At 48.9% G+C, this 24792-nt stretch overlaps 1 long non-coding RNA gene and 1 pseudogene across 2 annotated transcripts in view; one reads left to right on the top strand and one right to left on the bottom strand.

Annotated features, from left to right (window-relative positions):
- The window catches only part of FAM182B (family with sequence similarity 182 member B), a 37840-nt gene that overhangs the window by 1563 nt on the left and 11485 nt on the right, over positions 1 to 24792 (top strand). The window contains exons 1-3 of one of the 2 annotated variants that reach the window (NR_027061.3): positions 3621 to 3684; positions 12741 to 12984; positions 24417 to 24619. This is a non-coding gene — a long non-coding RNA (family with sequence similarity 182 member B). Of the gene's footprint in view, positions 1 to 3620; positions 3685 to 12740; positions 12985 to 24416; positions 24620 to 24792 lie in introns of those variants that run through there. The other variant, NR_026714.2, reaches the window with a different exon arrangement.
- On the bottom strand, positions 15810 to 16176 carry BSNDP1 (BSND pseudogene 1; annotated as a pseudogene).

Here is a 24792-nt window from a genome sequence, read left to right as displayed (position 1 = left end):
TCTGATGAGCCTGGAACACTTGGCTTCCACACGTGTCTCAGACAGAGAAGCTTCCTTAGTCTCCTTGTTTCACCTCATGGGTGGGTGGATTGTCTAGAATGAGTGCTAGGCGATCATGACTGGCCTTGTCTTCTAGGACAGATGGTGTCCCATTACCTCTGCACGTCCTGTCTCACAAATGAGGGATATCCTCTCCTCTGCTCGTAGGTGGACTGACTCCCTGAATCTTTTTTCTGTAACGAATGTCATGAAACCAAAGGAACAGGGCTGGGCCTGGGGATGGGGTTGCGGCTGGGTGCAGGGGAGGTTGCGTCAGGGCTACCTGGGCGGTGGAGGCTTCGGGGTGGGGTGAATGTTGCAGAGAACTCCTTGCTCCTCTGGCAGGCATTTCAAAATGTGGCTTGGACTGAGGCACAGGCCTCCTCCTTGTTCGCAGGTGTTCTTTGATTTTCCTTGGCATTCAGGGAAAAGCCACTTGATCCGCCTTTCCACCAGGCACATGCGTGGACACTAATGTTGGTTTCATCATTGCAACATATGCCTCCGGTGACATACATTCACACCATCTGCTGTGGGATACGCCAGTGCCACGCGTGATCGCATTGTCTCCACCTCGGATTCTCACCGACCCTGTTTGCACCTGTCCTGGAAAGCGGTGTCTGCTGGCAGGAGCCCCACGGCTTTTAGAAGTGGGGCACACCACTGCTCTTTCAACGGAGGAGGGAGGCAGAGGGCTCACTGATCAGTGAACATTTAGCTGACACCACGCCTTGAGGGCCATGGGATCATTCTGTGCAGCAGCGAGGCCCTGCCTGCCTCACCAGATGTGCTGAGCCCTTCCTTTCTAACCAGGAGGGGTCCAAACTAAGATCTGAAGAGGATTCCTGAGAACCCAGCAGGCGCCTTGAAGCTCCCCCTCCATCAGTGGAAGTCGGCTCAAGGAGGTCCTGAAGACTGGACTCCTGGGGGTTTGGCCCTGGGACAGGATACTCAAGGCCCCTTCTCCCACGCCGCCACAAACTGGACCCCTGAACCAGCCGCCGCCGTGGCAGCAGCAGGAGCCTCGCCGCCACCACGGAGCAGTGGCGTTATTGAAAGGGGACGCAGCCTAACTGCCAGGAGGGAAGCGCGAGTCGGCCCAGCCAATGCGCATGCGCGAGGCGCGAGCGGCTTCTCCCATTACAGTGGTTCCCACGGTTGTCTTAGAAACAAGTCCTCGAGGCTTGGCAAAGCGGGAGCCTTCCGCGGCAGAGCTTGGGTGTCCGGGCTCTGAGGCTCCGGTCTGACCTCTCCACGGGGTCGACGGGAATGTCTCCGGATGCCAGGAGTTGCAAAGGGCAGACCTAGATGAGGAAACCCCAGGCAGAGTCCTGGGGAAGCAGCACGGCATCCGAGCCTCAGGCTTGCCTGGACGGTGTTGGTTGGGGTGAGTCTCCTCAAAAGTCGTGCCGCAGCCGTGATCTCGAGGACAGGTCGGCCTGCATGCCCCTGGGCTGCTCTGTCAACCGAGGGTCGCTTTCTTTGAGAGCAGAACCACGCAGCCTCATGGGTTGCCTGGGGTTGTGTGTTTCAATGCTTCTGCTCTAGGACTCTGTGTGTGTGTGTGTGTGTGTGTGTGTGTGTGTCGGTGTGTGTCTGTGTGTGTGTCTCCCATGATCTCTTCTCTCTCTGTCTCTCAGTCTCTGTGTGTTTCTTTCCCTCTCTCTATTGGTTTGTGTGTGTGTGCCCGTCTGCTTGTGTGTCTTTGGACAAATGTGCCCTGTGCGCCACAAAGCGGTTTCTCGCATGGCGGCCTGTCTTTGGTGAGCCTCTTTCTGGGTCTCTGCCTGGGTTATGAGGCTGGTTGTAAATTGTTTTCACTGTCGCGGAACCGCTTTGGGTGTGTGAAGACCTGGCCCACGTGAGGAGATGCGACGGTCCCGGAGCAATTGAAATCTCATCCCAATCCTGAGTGGCCTCTTTTCTAGCATCAAGATGAAAACACAGCAACCGAGGACAAGAGCCTCACAGGAGCTCTTTTTCCCACAGGACAGCAGCTGACCCAGGTGAGAGAAGATGCTTGTATCTTTTCACGGCTTTTGTCTGAGAAATGAAGCCACACCACAATACAGTCTGCAAGAGGAAGCTGGGAATGGGAGATGGCAACAATCGCTGTCATTGGAACGCTGGCCTCTCTGGACAAGCCACCCTTTTGGAACCCCGCCCCTTATGCCCATTGCGGTGGCACGGTGCTGTACCCTGCCTGGGCTACAGCCTCTACTCTGTTGTCACACTCGCTGTGCCTCCCCTGTTTCTCAGAGGCCTAGATGGCTCTCGCTCTGGCCAAATTTCTTCAACAAAGATGACTTCCCAGTCCGTCAGGGAGACACTACCTGGAGATCCATGTTATGATTGTTTCTCTCTCCAAACGTGTTTCAGCTGGATTCCGCAGGTCTAATGACCCTGGAGCTCTGGGTGTCCATACATGTCTCAGGCAGGGAAGCTTCCTTCTTCTCCAGGTTTCCTCTCATGGGTGGGGCTGTGGCTGGGGCTGGGGCTGGGTGCAGCCGAAGTTGCTTCAGGGCTACCAGGGCGGTGGAGGTTTGGGGGTGGGGCGAATTTTGCAGAAACCTCTTTGCTCCTCTGCTAGGCATTTGAAAACGTGGCTTGGGTCAGGCACAGGCGCCCCCACCCCCCGGGTCCCAGGTGTTCTTAGATTTTCCTTGGCATTGATGGAAAGGTCACTCGTTCCCCACTTCCGCCGGCACATGCCTGGACACCACCATTTGTTTCGCCGTCGCCCCGTATGCCTCCGGTGACACACATTCACACCATCTGCTGTGGGATACGCCAGTGCCACGCGTGGTCACATGGTCTGCACCTGGCATTCGCCACTGTTCCTGTTTGCACGAGCCCTGTAAAGCGCGGTCGGCTTTCCGGAGCCCCAGGGCTTTTAGAAGAGGGGTAGGCCACTGCTCTTTCAAAGGAGGAGGGAGGCAGAGGGTTGAAGGATCAGTGAATTTGCAGCTGACACTAGGCCTCGAGACCTATGGGATCATTCTTTGCTGCAGCGAGGCCCTGCCTGCCTCAGCAGATGTGGCGAGCCCATCCTATCTCACTCGGTGGGGGCCAAAATGGGATCTGAAGGGGTGTCCTGAGAACACAGCAGGCGTCCTGAAGCTCCCCCTCCCTCCCTCGGTGGAAGTCAGCTCAAGGAGTTCCTGAGGACAGGACTCCTGGGGGTTTGGCCCTGGGACAGGACAAGACACCCGCGGTCCCCTCTCCCACGCTGCCCCAAACTGGAGGCCGGATCCAGCCGCCGCCGCGCCTGCAGCTGGAGCCTCGCTGCCGCCGCGCTGCGGTGGCGTTCTTTAAAGGGGACCCAGCCTGACTGCCAGGAGCAGAGTTCGAGTCGGGCCAGCCAATGCGCATGCGCGAGGCGGGAGCGGCTTCTCCCGTCACAGTGGTTCCCACGGTTGTCTTAGAAAGCAGTCCTCGAGGCATGGCAAAGTAGGAGCCCTCCATGGCAGTGCTTGAGTGTCGGGGCTCTGAGTCTCCGGCCTGACCTCTCCACGTGGTCGACGGGAACGTCCCCAGATGCCAGGATTCGCAAAGGGCTGACCAGGATGGCGAAACCTTAGGCAGAGTCCGGGGAAAGCAGCACGGCATCCCAGCCTCAGGCCTGCCCGGACGGTGTTGGTTGGGGTGAGTCTCTCCAAAAGTAGTGCCGCCGTGATCTCGAGGACATGTAGGCCTGCGTGCCCATGGGGTGGTCTCTCACCCGAGGATCGTTCTCGTCGAGAGCACAACCCCGAAGCCTCAGGTGTTGCCTGGGGGTGTGTGTTTCAATGCCTCTGCTCTAGGACTCTGTGTGTGTCTCTGTGTCTGTGTGTGTGTGTGTGTGTGAGTGTGTGTGTCTATGTGTGTGTCTCCCATTCTCTCTTCTCTATCTCTCAGTGTCTGTGTGTTTCTTTCCCTCTCTCAGTGTTTTGTGTGTGTTTGCCCGTGTGCGTGTGTGTCTTTGCCGAATGTGCCCTGTGCGCCACAAAGCGGTTTCTCGCAGGGCGGCCTGTCTTTGGTGACCCTCTTTCTGCGTCTCTGCCTGGGTCATGAGTCCGGTTGTCAATCTTTTTCGCCGCCGCGGATCCGCTTTGGGTATGTGAAGGCCTGGCCCACTTGAGGAGATGCGTTGGTCACGGAGCAAATGAAATCTCATTCCCATCCTGAGCGGCCAGTTTCCTAGGATCAAGATGAACACACTGCAGCTGAAGACAAGAGCCCCACAGGGGCTCTTTGTCCTGCAGGAGAGCAGCGGACCCACGTCAGAGAAGATGCTGGTATCTTTTCACGGCTCTTTTCTGAGAAATGAAGCCACACCACCATACGGTCTGCAAGAGGAAGCCGGGAATGGGAGATGGCAACAGTCCCTGTCACTGGAACGCTGGCCTCTCTGGACAAGCCATCCCTTTGGAACCCCTCCCCTTATGACCGTGGCGGTGGCACGGTGCTTTACCCTGCCTGGGCTCCGGCCTCTGCTCTGTCTTCCCTCTTGCTCTGCCTCCCCTGTTTCTCAGGGACCTGGATGCATCTCGCTCTGGCCAAATGTCTTCAACAAAGATGACTTCCCAGTCCGTCAGGGTGACATTTCCTGGAGATCCGTGTCCTGAATGTTTCTCTCTCCAAACGTGTTTCTCCTGGATTCCGCAGGTCTCATGACCCTGGAGCTCTTGGCTTCCATATGTGTCTCAGGCAGGGAAGCTTCCTTCTTCTCCACGTTTTCCCTCATGGGTGGGTGGATTGCCTAGAAGGAGCGCTAGGCGACAGTGACTGGCCTTGTCTTCCAGGACAGGTGGTGTCGCATTTCCTCTGCACTTCCTGTCTCATTTTTGAGGGACATCCTCTCCTCTGCTCCTGGGTGAACTGACTCCCTTGATCTTCTGGCCGAAACGAATGTCAGGGAACCAAAGGGACTGGGCTGGGGCAGGGGCTGGGGTTGGGGCTGGGGGCAGCCTAAGTTGTGTCAGGGATACCAGGGCGGTGTAGGGTTGGAGGTGGGGCGAATTTTGCAGAAACCTCTTTGCTCCTCTGGTAGGCATTTGAAAACGTGGCTTGGGTCAGGCACAGGCCCCCCCCCACCCCCCGGTTCCCAGGTGTTCTTCAATTTTCCTTGGCATTGAGGGAAAGGCCACTCGTTCCCCTCTTCCCCCGGCACATGCATGGAGAACACCGTTTGTTTCGCGTCGCCCCGTATGCCTCCGGTGACACACATTCACACCATCTTCTGTGGGATACGCCAGTGCCATGCATGGTCACATTGTCTCCACCTCGGATTCGCCCTTGTTCCTGTTTGTAGGTGTCCTGTAAAGGGCGGTTGGCTTTCCGGAGCCCCAGGGCTTTTAGAAGCGGGGCAGGCCACTGCTCTTTCAAAGGAGGAGGGAGGCAGAGGGCTGAGGGATCAGTGAATTTGCAGCTGACACTAGGTCTTGAGACCTATGGGATCATTCTGTGCTGCAGCGAGGCGCTGCCTGCCTCACCAGATGTGGTGAGCCCATCCTATCTCACTCGGCGGGGGCCAAAATCGGATCTGAAGGGGAGTCCCGAGAACCCAGCAGGTGTCCTGAAGCTCTCCCTCCCTTGGTGAGAATTGGCTCAAGGAAGTCCTGAGGACAGGACTCCTGGGGGTTTCACCCTGGGACAGGACACTGGCCACACCCTCTACCGGGCCGCTGCAAACTTTACCCCGGATCCAGTCGCTGCCGAGGCTGCAACAGGAGCCCATCTGCTACCGCACAGTAGCCATTGTTGAAAGGGGCAGCTGCCTGCCGTCCAGCACCGGAGCTTTAGTCGGCCCAGCCAGTGTGCCTCCACGTGGCTCTAGCTGATTGTCTCATCACAGTGATTTCCACTGTTGTCTTAATATCCAGTCCCTTAATTTTGGCATAGCAGGAGTTCTCCATGACTGTGCTTTGGTGAAGGGGCTTAATGCCTCCGCTGTCTTGCAGGAGTTTTAATACCCCTCCCATCCTGTGCTGTCTCCTTGCTAGGATCAAGACGACTGCAAACCAGCCAAGGACAAAGGCCTCACAGGTGCTCATTGTCCACCCACAGGCGTGTGCCCACAGACCTTCAAGAAGATGGTTCTCACTCCTCTCACCCTTTGCCCTCATTGAGAAAGCTACCCACAGCTATACACTGGGACGGAGAAGGAAGCTGGCTACAAGATGGGGCAAGCATGTCTGTCACTCAAACGCTGGCCTTCCTCGCCAAGTCACCCATTTGGCACATTTTCCCGGATGCCCGTGATAGTGGCATTGTGCTGTGGCATTGGCCTCTGCTCTGTCCTCCCTCTTGTTCTGTCTGCCCAGTTCCTGTGAAGCCTAGAGGTTTCTTAGTCTGGCTCAATGTCTTCAACAAAGAACACTTCCCAGTCCATTAGGGAGAAATTTCGCTGGGCTCCCTTTTATGATTGCTTCCCTCCCCAAACCTGTTTCTGGATGATAGGTTGTCATGATCCTGGAGTTCTGGGCTTCCATACCTGTCTTGGACAGGAAAGCTCCCTTTGTCTGCATGTCCCAAGTGATGGCTTCGTGGTCCATCAAGGAAGAGCGGGAGGCAACCCCACTGTGGCTGACCTTTGCCTTCTAGAAAAGTTAGTGTTGCATCCCACCTGCCCTTCCTCTCTCATTCCTGAGGGCCATCCCGTTCCTCTGCTCCTGGGGAAAGTGCCTCCAAGCACTGAATCTTTTGGCTGCCACGGATGTCAGGGAGCCAAAGGGACTGGGTTTTGCTGGGTGCAGAGGAGGTGGCATCAGGGGTACCTACAGGTGGCAGGATGTCGGTGTGGTGTCGTTTGTCGAAACCTCTTGGCCCCTCTGGCAGTCATCCCTGAATGTGGCTTGGACTCAGGCACAGGCCCTGTCTCACAGGTTTTCTAGTGTGCTTGGCTTTTCCTTGGCTTTGTGTGGGAGGTCCCAGTGACCCACCTGCACACACCTGGACATCACTATCCGTCTCAGCATCGCCCCATATGGCCTCAAAGACACACACTGACTCCATCTGCTCTTGGGGAACATTAGTGCCACGTGTGGTCACATTGGCTCCATCTCGGACTCACCTCTGTCTCTCCTTGCACATGCTGCGGAAAGCAGTGTCGGGATGCCAGAGCCCCGAACCTTGGAGATGAAGTCAGGCCACTGCTCCACCTAGGAAGGAGGGAGGCAGTGGGCTCATGGGTCAGTGCATTTTCAGCTGACAGTTCGCCTTGCAGCCCTTAGGATCTTTCTGTGCCCCAGCGAGACCCTTCCCGCCTCACTGCATTGTAACCCCATTCCTGATCACCCAGTGGGATCCATAGTCAGGTCGAAGAGGATTCCAGAGAGCCCAGCCACACCCTGAAGCTCCTCCTCCACCGGCAACCAAAGCAGAAGACCGATCAAGAAGGTCCTGATGACAGGACCTCTATGGGTACAACCCTTGGGTCTCCCGCAGGACCCTCTCGTAGTCCTCTTCCCACCCGCCGCCTCGGACTGCGCTGCTGCTGCCACCGCTGCCCCAGTCCCCTCAGCCGCGCGTCGCCGCCATTTTTTAAAGGATCTGCCGCCGGACTCTCGGGAGCAAGCGGGGATTCAGTCTCGCCAGTGCGCATGCGCAAGGCCTGAGCCTCCGCTTTGGTCGTAGTGATTGCCACTGTTGCCCGTGGATGGGTCCCCGAGACTTTGCGAAGTAGGAGCCCCGTGTGATAGTGCGTCAGAGTTGGGTCTGAGAGCAGTCCTGGCCAAGGCATTAACAGGATCGTCTCCAGAGCCTGGGATTCTCGGAGGGTTGACCACCAGGAAGAAACCTCAGAAGGAAGAAACCTCAGAAGGTAGAAACCTCAGGCGGATCGCCGGGGCGGCAGCGCGAGATCCCAGCCTCAGGCCCGGATTCGGGGAGGGTCGACGAGGCCCCTTTCCCAATCTTCACTTCACCCGCCGCAGCACCAGTCCCCGCAGCCACCGCTCCGCGGTCATTTTTCTTTTCTTTCTTTCTTTTTTTTTTTTTATAGTCGGAATCTCACTCTGTCACTCAGTGGAGTGCAGTGGCGGGATCTCAGCTGACTGCAAACTCTGCCGCCCAGGTTCAAGTGATTCTCTTGCCTCCACCTCCCGAGTACCTGGTACTAGAGGGATTAGTCAGAGTCCGGGCTAAGACCAGTCCTGGCCAGGGCATCAACAGGATAGTCTCTGGAGGCCGGGATTCACGGAGGGTCGTCCAGGAGGAAGAAACTGCAGGTGGAGGGCCGGGCAAGCAGCGCAGGATCCCAGGTTCAGGCCTGCACGGACGGTGTGCCAGTGAGTCTCTTCAAAAAAGGAGAGGTTTGCTTGTGTGCCCGTGGGCTGCTCTCTCACCAGTGGGTTGTTGTCATGGAGAGCAGAACCCTGAAAATTCAGGGGCTGCCTGCGTGTAGGTGTTACCGTGCCACTGCTGTATGTCTTTGTGCGTTTGTGTGTGTGCGTATGTCTCTCTCTTGTTTCTCTCTCTCCCCTTTCTCACTCTTTTGCTCTGTGTCCCTGTGTGCATGTGTGTGTGTGTTGGGACATATGTGCCCTGTGCGCCAGAGGACGGTATCTTCTATGTCCGCCTTTCTTGTGGTCAGCCTCTCCCCGCGTCTCTGCCTGGCTTGTGTGGCCCGTTGTCAGTCATTTTTCTGGCGGTTCCAGTTTAGGTTTGTGAAGGTCCAGATGAGGTGAGGAGCTGCGTCTCTCTCATAAGAATTTAAATCACCTCCCCACCCTGAGAGGCCTCTTTTCCAGGATAAAGGCCTCCACCCCCAAGCCAAGGATAATAGCTTCACCGGAGAGGTCATTGTCTACCTGCAGGAGCAGTGCAGAGCGACCTGAAAGAAGGTGGTTCTCATTCATCTCTCTCTTTCATCTCCTTGAGAAATCTAGCCACAGGGTAACACAGGTTTTGAGAGGATGGGAACGGGACGTGGCAAGGATCTGTGAGTGTGCAGGCTGTGTTTCACATATCATTAAACATAGTCCAGTGAGGGTTCTGCAGATAACTGGCGTTTAAGTTTGTTTTATTGAATCAAGGAAAAAGAAAAAATACTGAGAAAAAAATGACGCAACTTGCCTGCCAGCCCATCTGACTGTTACAAATTTAATAGTAGTTTTTATTTATCTTCTCATGTAAAGGTCCTTGGCAGTGATACCTAATTTCCTAAGATAGCCTTGCTTTATATTGTGTGATTAAGATGTCATGCATATCAGAGTATCTGGAAATTCTTCTCAACGTCCTTTACATACGTGATTAATCACATTTCCAAAATAACATACCAAAATGAATAACAGAAAATCATTTTAAGTTGTGGTTCCTTCATGCACAAAACATTTCATGTGTGTCTGGCACTCTTCCGGCCACAGATTTCATCTTAACCTAAGTATTGAAATGCTTGTGCCCTTTGATTAATTTTTCTATGTAAATACTTTGATAATAAGCTACACTGAGGCCGGTGCAGTGGCTCACACCTCTCATCCCAGTTCTTTGGGAGGCCGAGGCCAGCGGATCACGAAGTCAGGAGATCAAGACCATCCTGGCCAACACAGTGAAACCCCGTCTCTTCAAATATACAAAGAATTAGCCAGGTGAGGCCAGGCTCTGGCTCATGCCTGTAATTCCACACTTTGGGAGGCTGAGGAGGGTGGATCACCTAAGGTCAGGAGTTCGAGACCAGTCTGCCCAACATGGTGAAACCCTGTTTCTACTAAAAATACAAAAAATTAGCAGGTTGTTGTGTCAGGCACCTGTAATCCCAGCTACTCGGGAGGTTGAGGCAGAAGAATCACTTGAACCCAGGAGGCGGAGGTTGCATTGAGCTGAGATCATGCCACTGCACCGTCCGGCCTGGGGACAAGAGTGAAACTCTGTCAAAAAAAAAAAACAAAACTGGTCTATACTAAAAATACAAAAATTAGACCCTGAAGGTCATGTCCAAATGAGAAAGACATTGTTTGGCTCAAATTGTCTGACACTAAGGAATAGTGCAGACTGGACAAATGAGGTGACTGACACCTGTAATCCCAGCACTTTGGGAGGCCGAGGCCGGTAGATCACCTGAGGTCAGGAGTTGGAGACCAGCCTGACCAACATCGTGAAACTCCATCTCTACTAAAAAAAAATACATGAAAATTAGCCGGCTATGGTGGTGCATGCCTGTGTATCCCAGCTACTCAGGAGTCTGAGGCAGGAGACTTACTTGAAACTGGGTGGCAGGGGTTGCGGTGAGTGGGGATCACACCACTGCACTACAGCCTGGGCAACAAGAGTGAAACTCTGTCTCAGAAAACAGAATAGTGCAGAGTAAGAGCAGATTTATATATGCATGTATGTATGTATGTATGTATGTATGTATTTATTTTCAGAGAAGCAGGGAATCTGGAATTTTGGGTGAAATGTCTGTTTCCAGAAGGTGAAAATGCTCTCAAATGGAAAATTCAGGTTAGCCTATATCAAGCTTCTCCTTGTTCTATGTGTGAAGACCATGGGACAGAGGGAGCAGCTTGAGCCAAGTCAGGATGGTAGGATGGGACAGGTGGCCAGGGCTGCTGCACTGGGAACCCTGGTGGAGGATTTGGCTGGAAATGCAGGTGGGACCAGACCATGAAGACTCTCAAACACAGACCTGAGGACTCTGAGCTTTATCCTGGGGGCGGCAAGAAGCCATGTTAGGTGAAGGAACAAGGCTGTTTCTCCCACAGCACTAGTGCAAGGAAAGGTCAGGGAGGCCCTCAGTGGAAGCTTGCTGCTGGATTTGTTGATGTGCCTTTTCTCCTGCCTGCACTAGGGTCAGAATGGCCTTGGGTACTGCACACTTCCTACCAGGAATAGAAGGCGCCAGAGCTATAGCACTTCTCTTCCCTTTAGTTCTTTGGAAGGATGAGCAAATTATTCACCCTCTCTGAGCCTCAGTTTCCTCATCCATAAAATGATGACAGTACACCAACCTCGCAGGTCACAAGGATGTTATGAAATCAGGTGAGCACAGCATAGCAGTTGTATTTTTGGGTCCTATTATTACATGTGAACTAAGTTGCCTTGTAGAAAAAGCACAGGCTCAGGGGACCTGTGTTTCAATCCCACTAAGCCCCTGTAATGCCCACCTCTCAGGGATGATGGAAAGATTAAGTTCAAGGAGACGATGCTTGTGCAGCATCTGATACCCAGCAGATACCTAAGAACCTAACCTACCACCCCCCTGAGCAAGCACAACAGTCCTGCTCCTCCTGCAAGTACTGGGGATGCTGCCTCCCACCCGCCTTAGAACACTGCTCCTCCTCCCTCTCTGCAGGAGGCATTTTGTAGGCCTCAGTTGCTGGGCTTGCTGTCCTCTCACCTGCCTCTCAGCATGGGGCTCAGAGCACACATTCTTCACCTTTGCAAGAAGCTTCTCTAGGCATCCCTGCCCCCAGGCTTGCTGAGTGCATTCACCTATTGTCTTATTTATAATCCAGACAGAGTTACTCCCTACTGTGTAGATGATGAAATGGGGACCTAGAAAGGGAAGGAAAGACCAACACTTTGAGCACCTGCAATGTGCCTGAGGCAATGTACGCATTAGCTCTGCTTCACAGCAGCCCAAGAGGGAGGTATTATTCTTCCCCTGTGTAAATGTGGGTGTTGAGGCTCAGAGAAGGGCAGTGACTTGTCCAAGGTCACATAGCAAGCAACCGTCAGTGGCTGAGGGCTAACCCAGGTCTTTCTGACTTCAGAGTGTGGGATTTAGAACAAACATTTGCAACGTGAGATTGACAGATCCATCCCCCAGTGCTGTTCCAAAGACCAGATGGGGTCGTAAGTGTGTGAGTACCTGATATGGTGCCCAAGGACTGGGAGTAGAAGCAGAATCCCATCCACCTCCACCTAATCATACAGAGAAAGGAGACAGGAGCCCAGGGAGGGCAGTGCTGTGCCCAAGCTGTCAGCAAGCAGTAGGCAGAGCCCAGGCCCCTGCTTTCCCATGCCCACCCCTTCCCAGTTCAGGGCAAGGCCACCTCTCCAGGCCCTTTCCCTCCCCTAGAGAGGAAACTCCCCAAGTTCCTCTGACCAGACAGGAGAGCGAATGAGAGCAGAAAATTCCACTTCGGCACACACACCTGGAGCCTGAAGCTGAAAGCTGGAATCCCAGACTTTGACACTCAAGAAGGCACCTCCACACTCTTTCAGCACCTCCACCTGGGACCTTCATGAGCACCTTGCTTCCCTCCCAGGGGAGAGGGGTGTCCCAGAGACACTGGGGCCCTTAGAAGGCACTATGAGTTGGCAGTGACTGCAGCAGCGTGGTGGGATTGCGGGTGGTGTAGGAAGCAGGGGAAGCAGATCACAGCACTCAGGATGGCCAGAGCTGAAGGCATCAGAGTCCCCTGCCCTTGCTCTGCAAAAAAAAAAACCCATGGCATATTCCCCTCCCACTCCACACCTCCCACGGTCAGCAGTAGGCCCCAGAGGAGGAGCAGCGAGGCCTCAGGAGGACAGCAGCCACTGCTGGCAAGACGTTGGTGTTCTCCTGTTGAACTGCACAGGTTGTCAGCATCAGACAAGGTCGCTCTGTGACCATGATGGGTCAAGACAAAGCAAGGTCACTTGGTAGCTATCATGGCTCAGCTCATGCAAAATATGGACAAAAATGACCTCATACCCCCTCCCCTGTGTCTATGTCTTCACCACTACCTCTTTGTCAATTGCAGCGTTAGCTTTGTTTTTGTCTTCCTTCCTTCTAGGTAAGATTGGGGAAGATGCCAGGTGATAGAATCCACCCTGCCTCTGACAGCATCCAATCTGGAGCAAAGGCTTATTTCAACCCTCCCCCAAGCTCCCAATACAAGCCCAAATTCTGGAACAGGTCCTTTCCAACACCTCCTTCAGAGAAGCTCCCTGGCTCCAGGCAGTGCTTGCTCCCCTCACTGCAGCAGGAAGCCTAACTTGCGAACTGCAGGTGTGCTCCAGGTGGTCACTGGATGCAAGGCATTGACAGATGGATCCCATCGATACCCCCACTGCAAAACCATGTAAGCATATCATCCCCCACTTGCACATGAGGAAACGGAGGCCCACAGGGTGGGGAAGGGAAGACATAATTTGTCCTTCAAATGCGATACCGGTGAGATGTGAGAGGCAGCACCCCTCATAACTCTTCGAGGCAGTGGGCACACCAGGACCCTTCCAGGCAGATCGGGTATGTGGTCATCCGCCCATTGCATAGCATGTGTGGGAGTTGGGGAGACCAGACATGGGTCTCGCCACCTCTCCACTGGCCCGACCTCCCTGCAGGCCCCCAGGACAGGGTTAGCATCTGCTTGCTGGCAGGCCTGGCCACCAGAGATTTTTTCTTATGTCTAAGGTCCCTGTAGTTGTGGTTCACAGGATGGGGGCTGCTCCTGAGATTCAGCACCACACAGGCACTGCACAGCACTGTGCCATGGTGGTGGGCACTCGCTTTCCAGATAGGGCCCATGTTGCCAGCAGGCATGATGCATCATTTACCCTACCTTGAGTGCAATATGTGGTTTTATAGAAAAAAACTTGGGCCAGGTGCGGTGGCTCACACCTGTAATCCCAGCACTTTAGGAGGCCAAGGCGGGCGGATCACAAGGTCAGGAACTCAATACCAGCCTTGCTAATATAGTGAAACCTTGTCTCTATGAAAAATACAAAAATTAGCCAGATGTGGTGGTGGGCGCCTGTAGTCCCAGCTACTCCAGAGGCTAAGGCAGGAGAATCACTTGAACCCAGGAGGCGGAAGTTGCGGTGAGCCAAGATCATGCCACTGCACTCCAGCCTAGGCGACAGAGCAAAACTCCATCTCAAAAAAAAAAAAAAAAAAGAAAGAAAAGGAAAAGTATTTGTAGATGAATGAAGGTGATTCCTTTGAATATTGAAAATGATTTTATTTTAGCCATTGGTCTGACACTCATTCCGATGGGGTGACATGTGTCCCTGCCTTAGTCAGCAGAGCACAGGAGTGTGCTACACCTCCCCTCATCTGAAGATTCAGCCCATGAGCAGGAACGCCTGTCTTTGTGTCATACCAACAGAGAGGATGTGTCTGGTTTCACCATTCACTGCAGAGGCAGAAATTACCCAGAAAGAAGAGATAGTCTGTTCCCGGGAGTGTGTCCTTTTGACCCAGCATGGGGGTCATCTCCCTTCCTTGGCCAGGACCCCCAACCTGAACACAGAGGTAGAGAACATGTGAAGGGCTCCCATTCCCAGGTGGTCCAGGGTGCAAGCTCTGAGCCTGTGGTCCTGGTCACTGCCCTTTTCTCCACAGCATGGCAGTCACCATCCTGGGCTGGGGTACAGAGGGGCTTTGCAGAGATCAGCATAACAAAAGCATCACTGAGATGCTGCAATAGGAAACCGTGATACCTTCGTGGGCTGCCAAGGCAGCCTAAGCTATTTGTTGCTGCACTCAGTGTCCCCAGACAGCTGTGTGGCTGTCACTGCCTCTGGTGTGTCCATTTTACTTCTCTTCTCCTGCCTCAGCTTCTGCTCTGAACTCTGTCTCTAACTTACAAGAAATCAAGCTCACTGGATTCTGAGCTCTTCGGGGTCAAGGACTGTGTCAGTAGTTCATGTCTCTTTCTAGAGATCACAGCTTAGTATCTGGCACAGAGCAGATACTCAGCCAATGCCAAATGATTCATTTGCCAGAAGGCTGAATTTCATCCATAATCCTAGTCAATGCAAATACATTTTGCCGGTGGGGTGTGTTTGTCCTCTGAAGGCGTTTTCCCAGGCTTTGTAAATACATACAGGCCATTTAGAAATTTGAATGTCAAAGAGTAAAGGAGCTTAGAAAGTAAGCATTGGAGAAGTGTGGGAGGGTGGTATTATTTACAAAACATTCCTGGGTCCTTGTGAGTTCTATACACCCTTGATGAGCACTGATTCTGGGCCAGGCCAGACACCCAGCTGGACCCAGGAGATACTGAGGTGAGTAAAGCCAAAATGCCTCCATTCAGCAGGAGGCGGGCAGTCACACCAAAGTGATAAAGGCACAAAATGCAGAGGCAGCAGAGGAGCAATGACTACCTTGTTCCAGGACTCTGTGACCTCAGGGAGAGCTTTCAGAGGAGGACATCTGTGCAAGGCTTGGAAGGATGAACACAAATTTGCCTAGCAGAAAAGGGAGCCAAGCAAATCCTGATGGAGAACAGCTTGGGTGAGAGTGTGAGCCACAGGATTGAGGGGCTCAGGCATGTAACTGGAGGAGCAGAAAGAATGAGGGGAGATAAAGTTGGGAGGTCAGCAGAGGTCAGTCACAGAAGGTTTTGAATCCTGGTGAGGGAGCAATGGGTGCTGCACAAGGGACATGGGCCTGGAGGAGATGCAGTTAGCTCTGAGTGAAGATGGAGCATGCCATCCACCAGGGAACCACAAGATACAATAGAAATAAGAACCCTGAGAAGCCTGCACAAAGAATGAGGGGCCCAGGGGTAGCACCAAGAAGGTCCCTGTCAGAGACCAGCTTTGAACGGAGACAGAAAAGACTCTTGAGGGCCTCAGCTGCTGCAAACCTCCTCAATAAATCATATTTTACCTTCCAATATTTGCTAAAGAATACTAACTATTGGAAGAGCAATGGCCCATTGATAATAATTATTCCCTCAATGTACATTTTTTACAATTCTCAAAATGCTCTCGGTCCAGTCTCTCATGGGAACCCCCATAAAATCCCATTTTACAAATAGGGAAATGAGGCCCTGTGATGTCACACCGAGGTTTGCAGCAGTTCCAGGATAGAAAATAGGAAGCACTTTCATCTCAGCCCTGGGTATAAGTCTCAAAATTCCTTTTCGGGGAGGGGGTCCTTGAGGCCATCCAGCAGCCCATAGTCCAAGTCTTTTTCTTCCTCCTTGGGCTTCTCCACACCTGTATCCAAAGCTTCCTTCTCCTCCTTTGTTCTCAGGTACCACTACCAGTTGTTGGGCAGGGAGACCTCCTGCTGCTGCCCATCCTATGTTGCATCCTCCAACATGGGTGCACTGTGGTTCAGCCAGCACCTATACCACCTGCAGCCCAGGGCTCCTGTGGTGGGCCTGAGGTTCCTCCCTATCAAATGGAGATATGCTGGGGTTGCTGCCTTTGCTGAAGCCCATGTCCAGGTCATCTTGGGGGTGGCCAAGGTTACAGGGTCCTGGGGACAGGCCAGAGGGCTGCAGGAGCAAAAACCAAGAGGATGAGGGGATCTCTGGGTCAGACCGCCTGGATCCACATCCCAGAGACTAGCTGCAAGGCCTGAGGAAGAATGGTTCACTTCTCTGGGTGTCAGTTTCCTCCCCTGTAAAGTGGGAGGTATAACAGATTCACTCCTACAGTTGTCTCTGAGCTTTATAGCAGGTAATGTGTGCAAAGTACTTCCCATAAGGCCTGGCACATGGTAGGTGATAATAAATAATAAACAGGGTTACTATGATATCATCATCTGAGCTAGGTCACTCATGCACCTCTCCAATGCTTCAGGGTGCCCCTCCATCCCTCACAGGGTAGCAGCAAGTGAAAGGGATCCCCCTGGCCTTGAGGAGCTCACATCTACTTATTTCCCAGGGGTCTCTGTCCAGTGCCCACACATGCCTGGCATGTAGTAGGTGCCTCATCCACATCTGGTGAAAGAGTGGAAAGCAGGTCATTATCATGTATTGTTTGGCACAGAATCTGCAGTAGGGGACAGAGAAGTGAGTGACTGTAGTTGTGCCCACCAGTTCCTGTCCCTGAACTTTCAGGGATCAAGAGGCCTTAGCAAGTCTAGTACCAGGGAGTGGGCACTGTGTGGTGGAGCAGGAGGCAGGTCTTAAGAAAGGCAGTGGGGTGAGGAGAGGAGATCTGCCTTTGAGGTCTGGGAGATCCTCTACCAGGACCTCAACAAAGGCCCCAGGAAGGTCATCCCTCCTCCCAGAATCTCTCTATACTCTTCTATATAATGGGGCTAGCCTGGAAGAGATACTTGCACAACCATGTTCAGAGCAGCATCATCCACAATAACCAAAAGGTGGAAGCAACCCAAGTGTCCGTGGATGGATGGACGGATCAACAAAATGCTGTCTATGCATACAGTGGAATAGTGTTCAGCCTTGAAAAGGCAGGAGATTCTGACACCTGCAGTGTCAAGAATGAACCTTGAGGACATTAGGCTGAGCAAAATAAGCCAGACCAAAAAGACAAATGTTGTATTATTCCACTTTTCTAAGGCACCTAGAGTCATCAAATCTATAGAGACAGACTGGACAATGGTGGCTACCAGGTCCTGGGGAGGGTGGTGATTGGGGAGTTGTTTTTAAATGAGTTACAGAATTGTAGTTTTACAAGATGAAAAGCATTCTGGAAATTGGTTGCACAACATTGCGAATGTATTTAATGCCACTGAAATGTAAATTTAAACATAGCTAGACAGTAAATTTTAGTTTATTTTACCAGAATTTTTATAATGGGGTAGTTATGCCTGTCTCCTTGTGTTGCTGTAGGATTTCATGAGATAACATATAAGGAACCACCCAGCATGTTGCCTGGCACATAGTAACTACTGTATTATACTGGGTTCATAAATAGCACTCCCCCTTTTCCCTTCCCACAGAGTGCAGTGAATAGAAGACACTTCTCTGCACCCCAAAAGCTCCATGCTGATTGTGAGAAGGAAATGCTGGATGGAGGGGTTCCTGGAACTACTGTGAGGGGTGAGCTTTCTCCAGATGTCTAGAAATGAGGCAGGGACCCTACATCTTCCACCCCCACTAAGGTTACCTTGCAGTTCCCAGCTGGCTCTATACTTCCTGGAAACTGCCACTTTTCTGCCTCCATTACCTCATAGCCCTGTCAGCACCATTATCTTCATCACCATGATCGCCATCACCATCCTTACAATCACCAACACTATCATCATCGCCATCACCATTCTTACCCTCGCCATTCTCACCATCACCTTGTTCACCTTTACCATTCTCACCATCATCATCACCTTCATCATCCTCAACATAACTATCACTTCATTATCACCACCTCCACCTTCACCATCACCATCCTCACCATCATCATCACCACCATCACAAGGATCCTTGCTACATGAAACCATGCATTCTGGGTAGCAGGGCTCTTGGGTCAGGGCTTCTAACACATCTTGTAGGATAGAAACCCAGCCCCTCAGGGTCTCACAGTTGGTGAAGTAACTGATTCTTGTGAGGTCATATTCCTCTGGGTGATGTGGGATGTCACAAGACCAATAAATATGGGCTGAAGCCCATCGCATCACTTCTTTTCTTGTAAAATAAGCTCCATCATCAGTAGTAATTGTATGATAGCAGAGAATAAGAACTCAGCAAATGTAAATAATTTGATGCTATCAGAAGCATATGAAGTGGAGTCCATATTCTGATATGCATCTATTCCAGTGAGGGCAATTCTTTACCACTTCCATGAAGGAAGGGAAAAAATATTATTACCACATTACCAGAAATCTGTCTGGTCTAGGCAAGGCAGTTCCTCTATCCAGGGTCTCATTATTGCTCATTGTCGGCCGTCAGGGCACTCATCTGGGCAGTAGGCAGCACTGCTGCAGGGAAGTTCACGTTATTGGAAACATGTAGCATCTTCTCCTGCTACCATCGCCACATTGTCCATGAACCCACTGGGCAAATGATGAGGAATCTGGGAAAAGATCTCATAACCAGAATATAATCATCCACATCAGGATATCAGCATTCACCCAACACTACTGTCCAATCAACAGACGCTATAATCTCACCCAAATTTTCTCAGTTGTGCCCTAAATACAGTTTTTTTGAACTTTGTAATCCAGGATCCAATCCAGGATTTCCCATTGCATTAATTGTCATGTCTCCTAAGCTCTTTCAACTTCAAAGAGTTCCTCTTTTTTTCCCTATTTTTCATAACCTTAAGAGTTTTAAGAGCATAAGCATTTATGAAGGATGTGTTCACCTTTTTCCATCTGATGTGTTTCCACATCCAGACTTAGGTCATGTATCTTTCACAAGAAAATCACAGAAATAATGCTGTGGTCTTCCTAGGACATCCCAGCAGGAGGCACATGATCAAGTTTGTGCCAGATTTGTCCACCACAAAGTCATCATTCTTCCAATTGTAATTGAGAAGTATTTCATATGAAGATATTAATTACACATACACATGAATGCATATTTATATGTAACATACATACAAAATATTATTTCAATGTCTAACCAATATAAAAGTTATTAATTAGATATGTTTAATTTTATTTCCTACTAAGTCTTCAAAATCTGGTGTGTGTTTTACCCTGACAGCACATCTCAGTCCAGCCTAGCCACATTTCAAGTGTTCAATATTCACATGGCTGTGGCTACCATATTTGTTAGGGCAGCACTAAAGCACTAAAGAACTTCTTCCTTGGAGAAGTTCTAAGCTTTCAAAATGTTTGGCAAATACATTTTATAAAATTCTTCAGAATCCATAAATAGGCAATTACACATTTAGTAAGCCATAGAATCCAACATGGCATTAAAAATGAATCCCTCGACAAAAAAGAAGGTAGGCAACATTTTCTTCAGACCAAATGGACAAATCAATTATGATTACCTCACATGCCCATTATTATTTATTAACATCTTTCATTAATACCCCCAAACCCCATCAACAGGTAAATGAATAAATGCATTGAGGCCTATCTGAACAATGTCCCAATTCCTTACCATTCTTACTTCTTTTGCAAGCAGAAAAGACTCAGTATTAGCAAAGACTATTCAGATAGTTTGTTCTTATGCCAGTAGTTGTAATTTTCTGGAGGTCTATGTGATATCAATTATGTACTTCAATACCTCTCACAAGTACTTTTCCTGTTTGGCCATTTTCTGCGGTATATCCATGTTCCTATTTTCTCTATTCTTTTATTTCTATCCTAGACTTTTCTTTTATCCTATAATTCTTTATCCTAAAAATATTAATTTAAGGATAACGTCACAAAATATTATATTTCTTCAGATGATACTCCAAATTGATACTTAATATACAGAAATGACTATCATGGACATAACCCACAACATGTGAAATGTATGGCTCATTCTACTGACATTATAAAGGAAAGTTAATGACAACTGAATTTCTAGTCATTTTCCACCCAACCAGTTGCTTATAAAATGTCAAGGAATTGTAGGTATGTACACAGTGGCTATTTTTGGGTGGGGTGTTCAGCAACTCTCCTCTTGAGAGCCCCCCTTTTCTTTGAGGACCATTTCAATGAGAACCAACTAAGCCTGACCCAACCTACCAGCCCCAGCCCTAGAGGTGATCATTAAAAAAGCCAGCTGGAATACAGGATAGCTCTGTCCTATAGCAACCTAAAACACTACCTCCCTTGATGTGCATATAGAAAATCTATGTCTTGTGGCCAGGCATGGTAGCTCATGCCTGTAATCGCAGTACCTTGGGAGGCCAAGGTGGGCGGATCACAAGGTCAGGAGATCAAGACCATCCTAGCTAACACAGTGAAACCATGTAAGACTCTACCCTTGGATCATAGCCACTGTTTCAGTACTTTTTTTTTGGAATCATCAGGAAGGACTCTTGCTTTTTCTACTACTGTGGTCTGCGAGGACAAAGTAAGTGTGTTATTTGTAGCACTATCTCTTGCTACAGAGAGAGAAGAGAGTCATCTTCAGAAGGAAAAAATGAGGCTAAAACAAAAGGAAAAGTGGCAAGAGAAAGAAGGAGAACATTTCTTGATGATTTTATATAAGCCCCTGGGTCCAGCTATGCACGGCAGCGACTTGGGTTAAAGCTCTGTCGCTTATGGGACCATTGACTTAAATATAAAATAAAGTATTAAAAGCTATGAACTTTTAGATGAAAATACAGAAAAAAAATCTTTGTAATGTTCAGTTAATCAAAAATGTCTTAGATGAAGCCCCAAAAACCAAATGCACAAGAACAATTAATAAATTGGACCCCATCAAAATTAAAAGCATCTGCTATTTGAAAGATAGTGTTATGAGAACAAAAAAGAAAACTCAAGGGGAAAATACTGGCAAGTCTCATATCTAATAAGGGATTTGAATCCAGAGTATATAAAGAAACTATTAAAATTTAATAATGAGAAAATAAGCAAAGAAAAAAACAAAAAAGAAAGAAGCAAAATAAACGTGAACATACACTTTACCAAATATATACAGATGGCATGTACGTACATAGATACTAAATATTATTAGGCATTAGGGAACCACAATAAAATACTATTGTACAAACAGGAAAATGTCTAAAATTTTAAAAGAAGGCCCATACAAAATGTTGGCAAGAGTGTGGAATTCTTATATACTGCTGATAAAAATATAAAATGGTACAACCATTTTGGCAAACATTTTGACAGTCTCTTAAAACTAAACCTAAACCTATTAATTATTACACTCCTAATATTTACTCAAAGTTAGAAGAACTTATATACATGAATGTTCATTGCAAATGTATTTGCATAAGTCCAAAACCAGAAGCAATGCAAAAACCCATCAGCAGGCAAATGGATATATAAGTTGTGACCGATCTGCACAATAGGATACTACTCAGTCATAAAATTAATGGCCTATTTATGCCTGCCATGTAGCTGAATCTCAAAATAATTATGCTGTGTGAAAGATGCCAGACGCCTCCTAAAAAGGGTCCATACTACACTTCATTTGTATAAATGTCTAGACAAGGCAAACTATTTTACAGTGACAGATTGGTGATTGCCAGGGAGAGTGGTAAGGTAGGAAGATAGAAAAAGTTTGGGATTATAAAAGGGCAAGGGGAAACTTTTATGAGTGCTGGATATGTTCATTATTTTTATTTTGGTGATGGATTTGCAAGTATACATAAAAAATAACACGCAATGGAAGTAGAAACAGTAATTTTGTTTCTTTCTTAAAAAAGCACAATTTACTTACTAATGGGATGTGTGTGCCTGTTGGGCACACAGCACAACTTTTCAAATCTTAAAATCGGACTGGATCTCAACCACTGGACCTTATTCCTATTCCACACTGACTTTAGCACAATACTTGTTTTATCGCGGTAATTAACACCACCCACCTTAAAGGTAAAGAAATGCACTTCTAACTAACTACTTTTGAAACTCTGAACTGCCTCAGGCTAGTAGTTCTTAAGGTCTCCAGCAAATGTTGCTTTGTTTCTCTCAAAAATATACAGCCTGGGCAACCTGGCAAAACCCCATCTCTACTACAATTAGAAAACTTAGCCAGGCATAGTGGTGCATGCCTGTTGTCCCAGCTACTCAGGGAGGCAGAGGCCGCAGTGAGCCTAGACCTCACCACTCCACTCCAGCCTGGGGGACAGAGTGAGACCCCCATCTCAAATACAGACACACACATACACAGACTCACACGCTATCCACTGGTGCCCCTGTCAGTTAAACACAGCATCTCAGGGCACCTTAGCACACAGTGTGAGAGCCGTGGTCCTAAACACTTCAATTAAAAGTGAAACATCTCTGGCTGGATTTTTAGAATATTTACTTTTTAATGCTTTATATTTATTTTTATGTTTTAATTAATTTATCTGAATACAAGAATCCAGACATTTGGAAGTAAAACAATGGAAAACATGCCTGCAAACACTAATCAGCACAAAGCTTATGTTGCTATGTTATTTTTGACAGTTTAGACTTAAGCCAAGAACTATTGCTAAGATAAAAAAGATTTTACGATGTCAGTCACTAGAAAAGTATGCCAATTTTAAATATGTATAAATATAAAATATCCCTTCAAGTTATTTAATACAGAAACTGATATAACTAAAAGAAAAATGGACTAATCTACAATATAGATTTTAACATACCTTTCAATTACCGATGGAACCAACAGAAAAAAATCCATAAGAGAAAGGGAGATTGGATGAACACAATGAACAAACTTGACATAAACTGACATATACAGAACGTGACACTCAACAACTACTGAATACACATCCTTTTCCAGTGCACGTATCATATTTACCAACATAGATTATATGTCGGAATTTAAAGGGACTCATCAGAGTATTCAGTCATGGGATTTTGCCTAAACTTGTCTGGCCTTCAACAGGGTTCAAATACAGTTAAATTCTTATTTCATCTAAAGAGTCCTATCCTTTTTTTTGGAAATTTTACCGCAACAATCTAAATTTGCATAACAACTGAACCCAGCCCTTGGAACTTGAGGTTTATTCTAGCCAAAGGCAGATTAAACTAAGTAGTAATGTCCTTCAAATTGTTGTCCCCTGCTCCGGTAATGGAGTATAGCTCCAAGAAGCTAACAGACTGTTTGTACTTCATACTATACATTCTATGTTACATCAAAACACGGTATAAACCTTGAAATCAGCAGCAGAGAGAAAATGAGATCAACAACCATCTAGCTGTGACCTCACTACTTAGTAATTACGCTTTTAGCTGACTCCTTTACTTGATTCCTAACTGCTTATTTCTGGCAGGGTAGCACTAATCCCTGACCAAGCTGACCTTTTAAGAAGTGAGCAGAACGAAAAGGCTCTACCACCAGTGATCAGTTTAACAAGCTGCAACACTAGTCACTGGCTGCAACTCTAGTCACTGGCTGCAACTCATATTGTGGGTTTTAAGAGCTCAGAATTAACATGGAAATACTATTGACTCCAAAAGAAACTCAGAAATCTCTGGGAATCCAGCAAAGATAGAAAGGGTCCTCTCAATAGTCACCACTCACACTTTGCTTTGTTTTGGTAACTATTTTTATTACATACAGAGAATATCAAAAAAGTTTGCCTTTTCCTCATTGTGAATGCTAACCCTAAAATGGTAAGGCTCTTCTTGTAGGTTGAAACCCCCAGGCTCTCACTGGCCCTTCAACAGAAGGCAGTGAAGTCACCTGCAAGAATGATCACCCAAAAACTTCCAGGCTGGACGAGTTGGGACTCAGTTCCTGCAGTTCCCAAATTCACAGTTCTCTTGGGACACGGTTATTTATGGAGCTCCTGAAGATGAGAAATTCCACCCAGGAAATTCTGTTTATAAAAATTATTCACATCTAATTATCTCAGGAGACATTAACACAGCAATGTTGAAAATTTCCCATTAATTGTTAATCCATGGAGAAAAACTGGACAATTATTTTTTAAAATATGAAAACCTTCATATAATACAAATTATACTCCCACATGTGATTCAATTTCTATTTATTAATGCCAGAGAAGTTAATAATTGCGAATTGCCAGTGGTTAAAAAAAATAAATCATTAATCATTGGAGAAGTGCAGAAGGTTTAAAAGAGGTAAGAATTAGCTTTTGGCTTTGGGGCGTTTTACGCTTTCCAAAAGGTTTTGCTCTTTTTTTTTGCTCATGGCTTTCTCTCTCTCTCTCTCTCTCTTTCTTTCTGATTTCAGTTTCTTTTGATTTCTCCTGCTTAGAAATGGTGCGAGAACTTTGGATGTGGAACGTGGAGGAGGAGGAACACGAAGTGGGGATCTGCACTTGGGGTGGTCAGCACTGCGGATGCCCAGCAAAGTCACTGCCTGGTCCACATCCCGGAGGGGTCTCTGCGCCTCAGTCGGCATCGCAGCTGATGGTGAAACTTTTGGTGTGGCAGAAGAGTGTCCACAAACTTCGGAAGGTATCCGCTACATCCTCCATAGCCGTGTATCCCTGCCCAGGGCAATCTTCTGGGGGAGCGGAAAGTCCTGCTCCCGGGCCAGGGCTGGCTGGCTGGAGCCACTTGTGCGGCGCAGCCCTGGCGGAGGTTCAGGCGGCCCCGGTGTCGCAAGCGGCTGTGAGTGATGCCTCCCT

This window comes from Homo sapiens, chromosome 20 (assembly GCF_000001405.40).
Source record: "Homo sapiens chromosome 20, GRCh38.p14 Primary Assembly".
NCBI classification, from domain to species: Eukaryota; Metazoa; Chordata; class Mammalia; order Primates; family Hominidae; genus Homo; species Homo sapiens.
The sequence above is the reverse complement of the archived record's forward strand: the minus strand, read 5'-3'. Positions and strand labels throughout refer to the sequence as shown.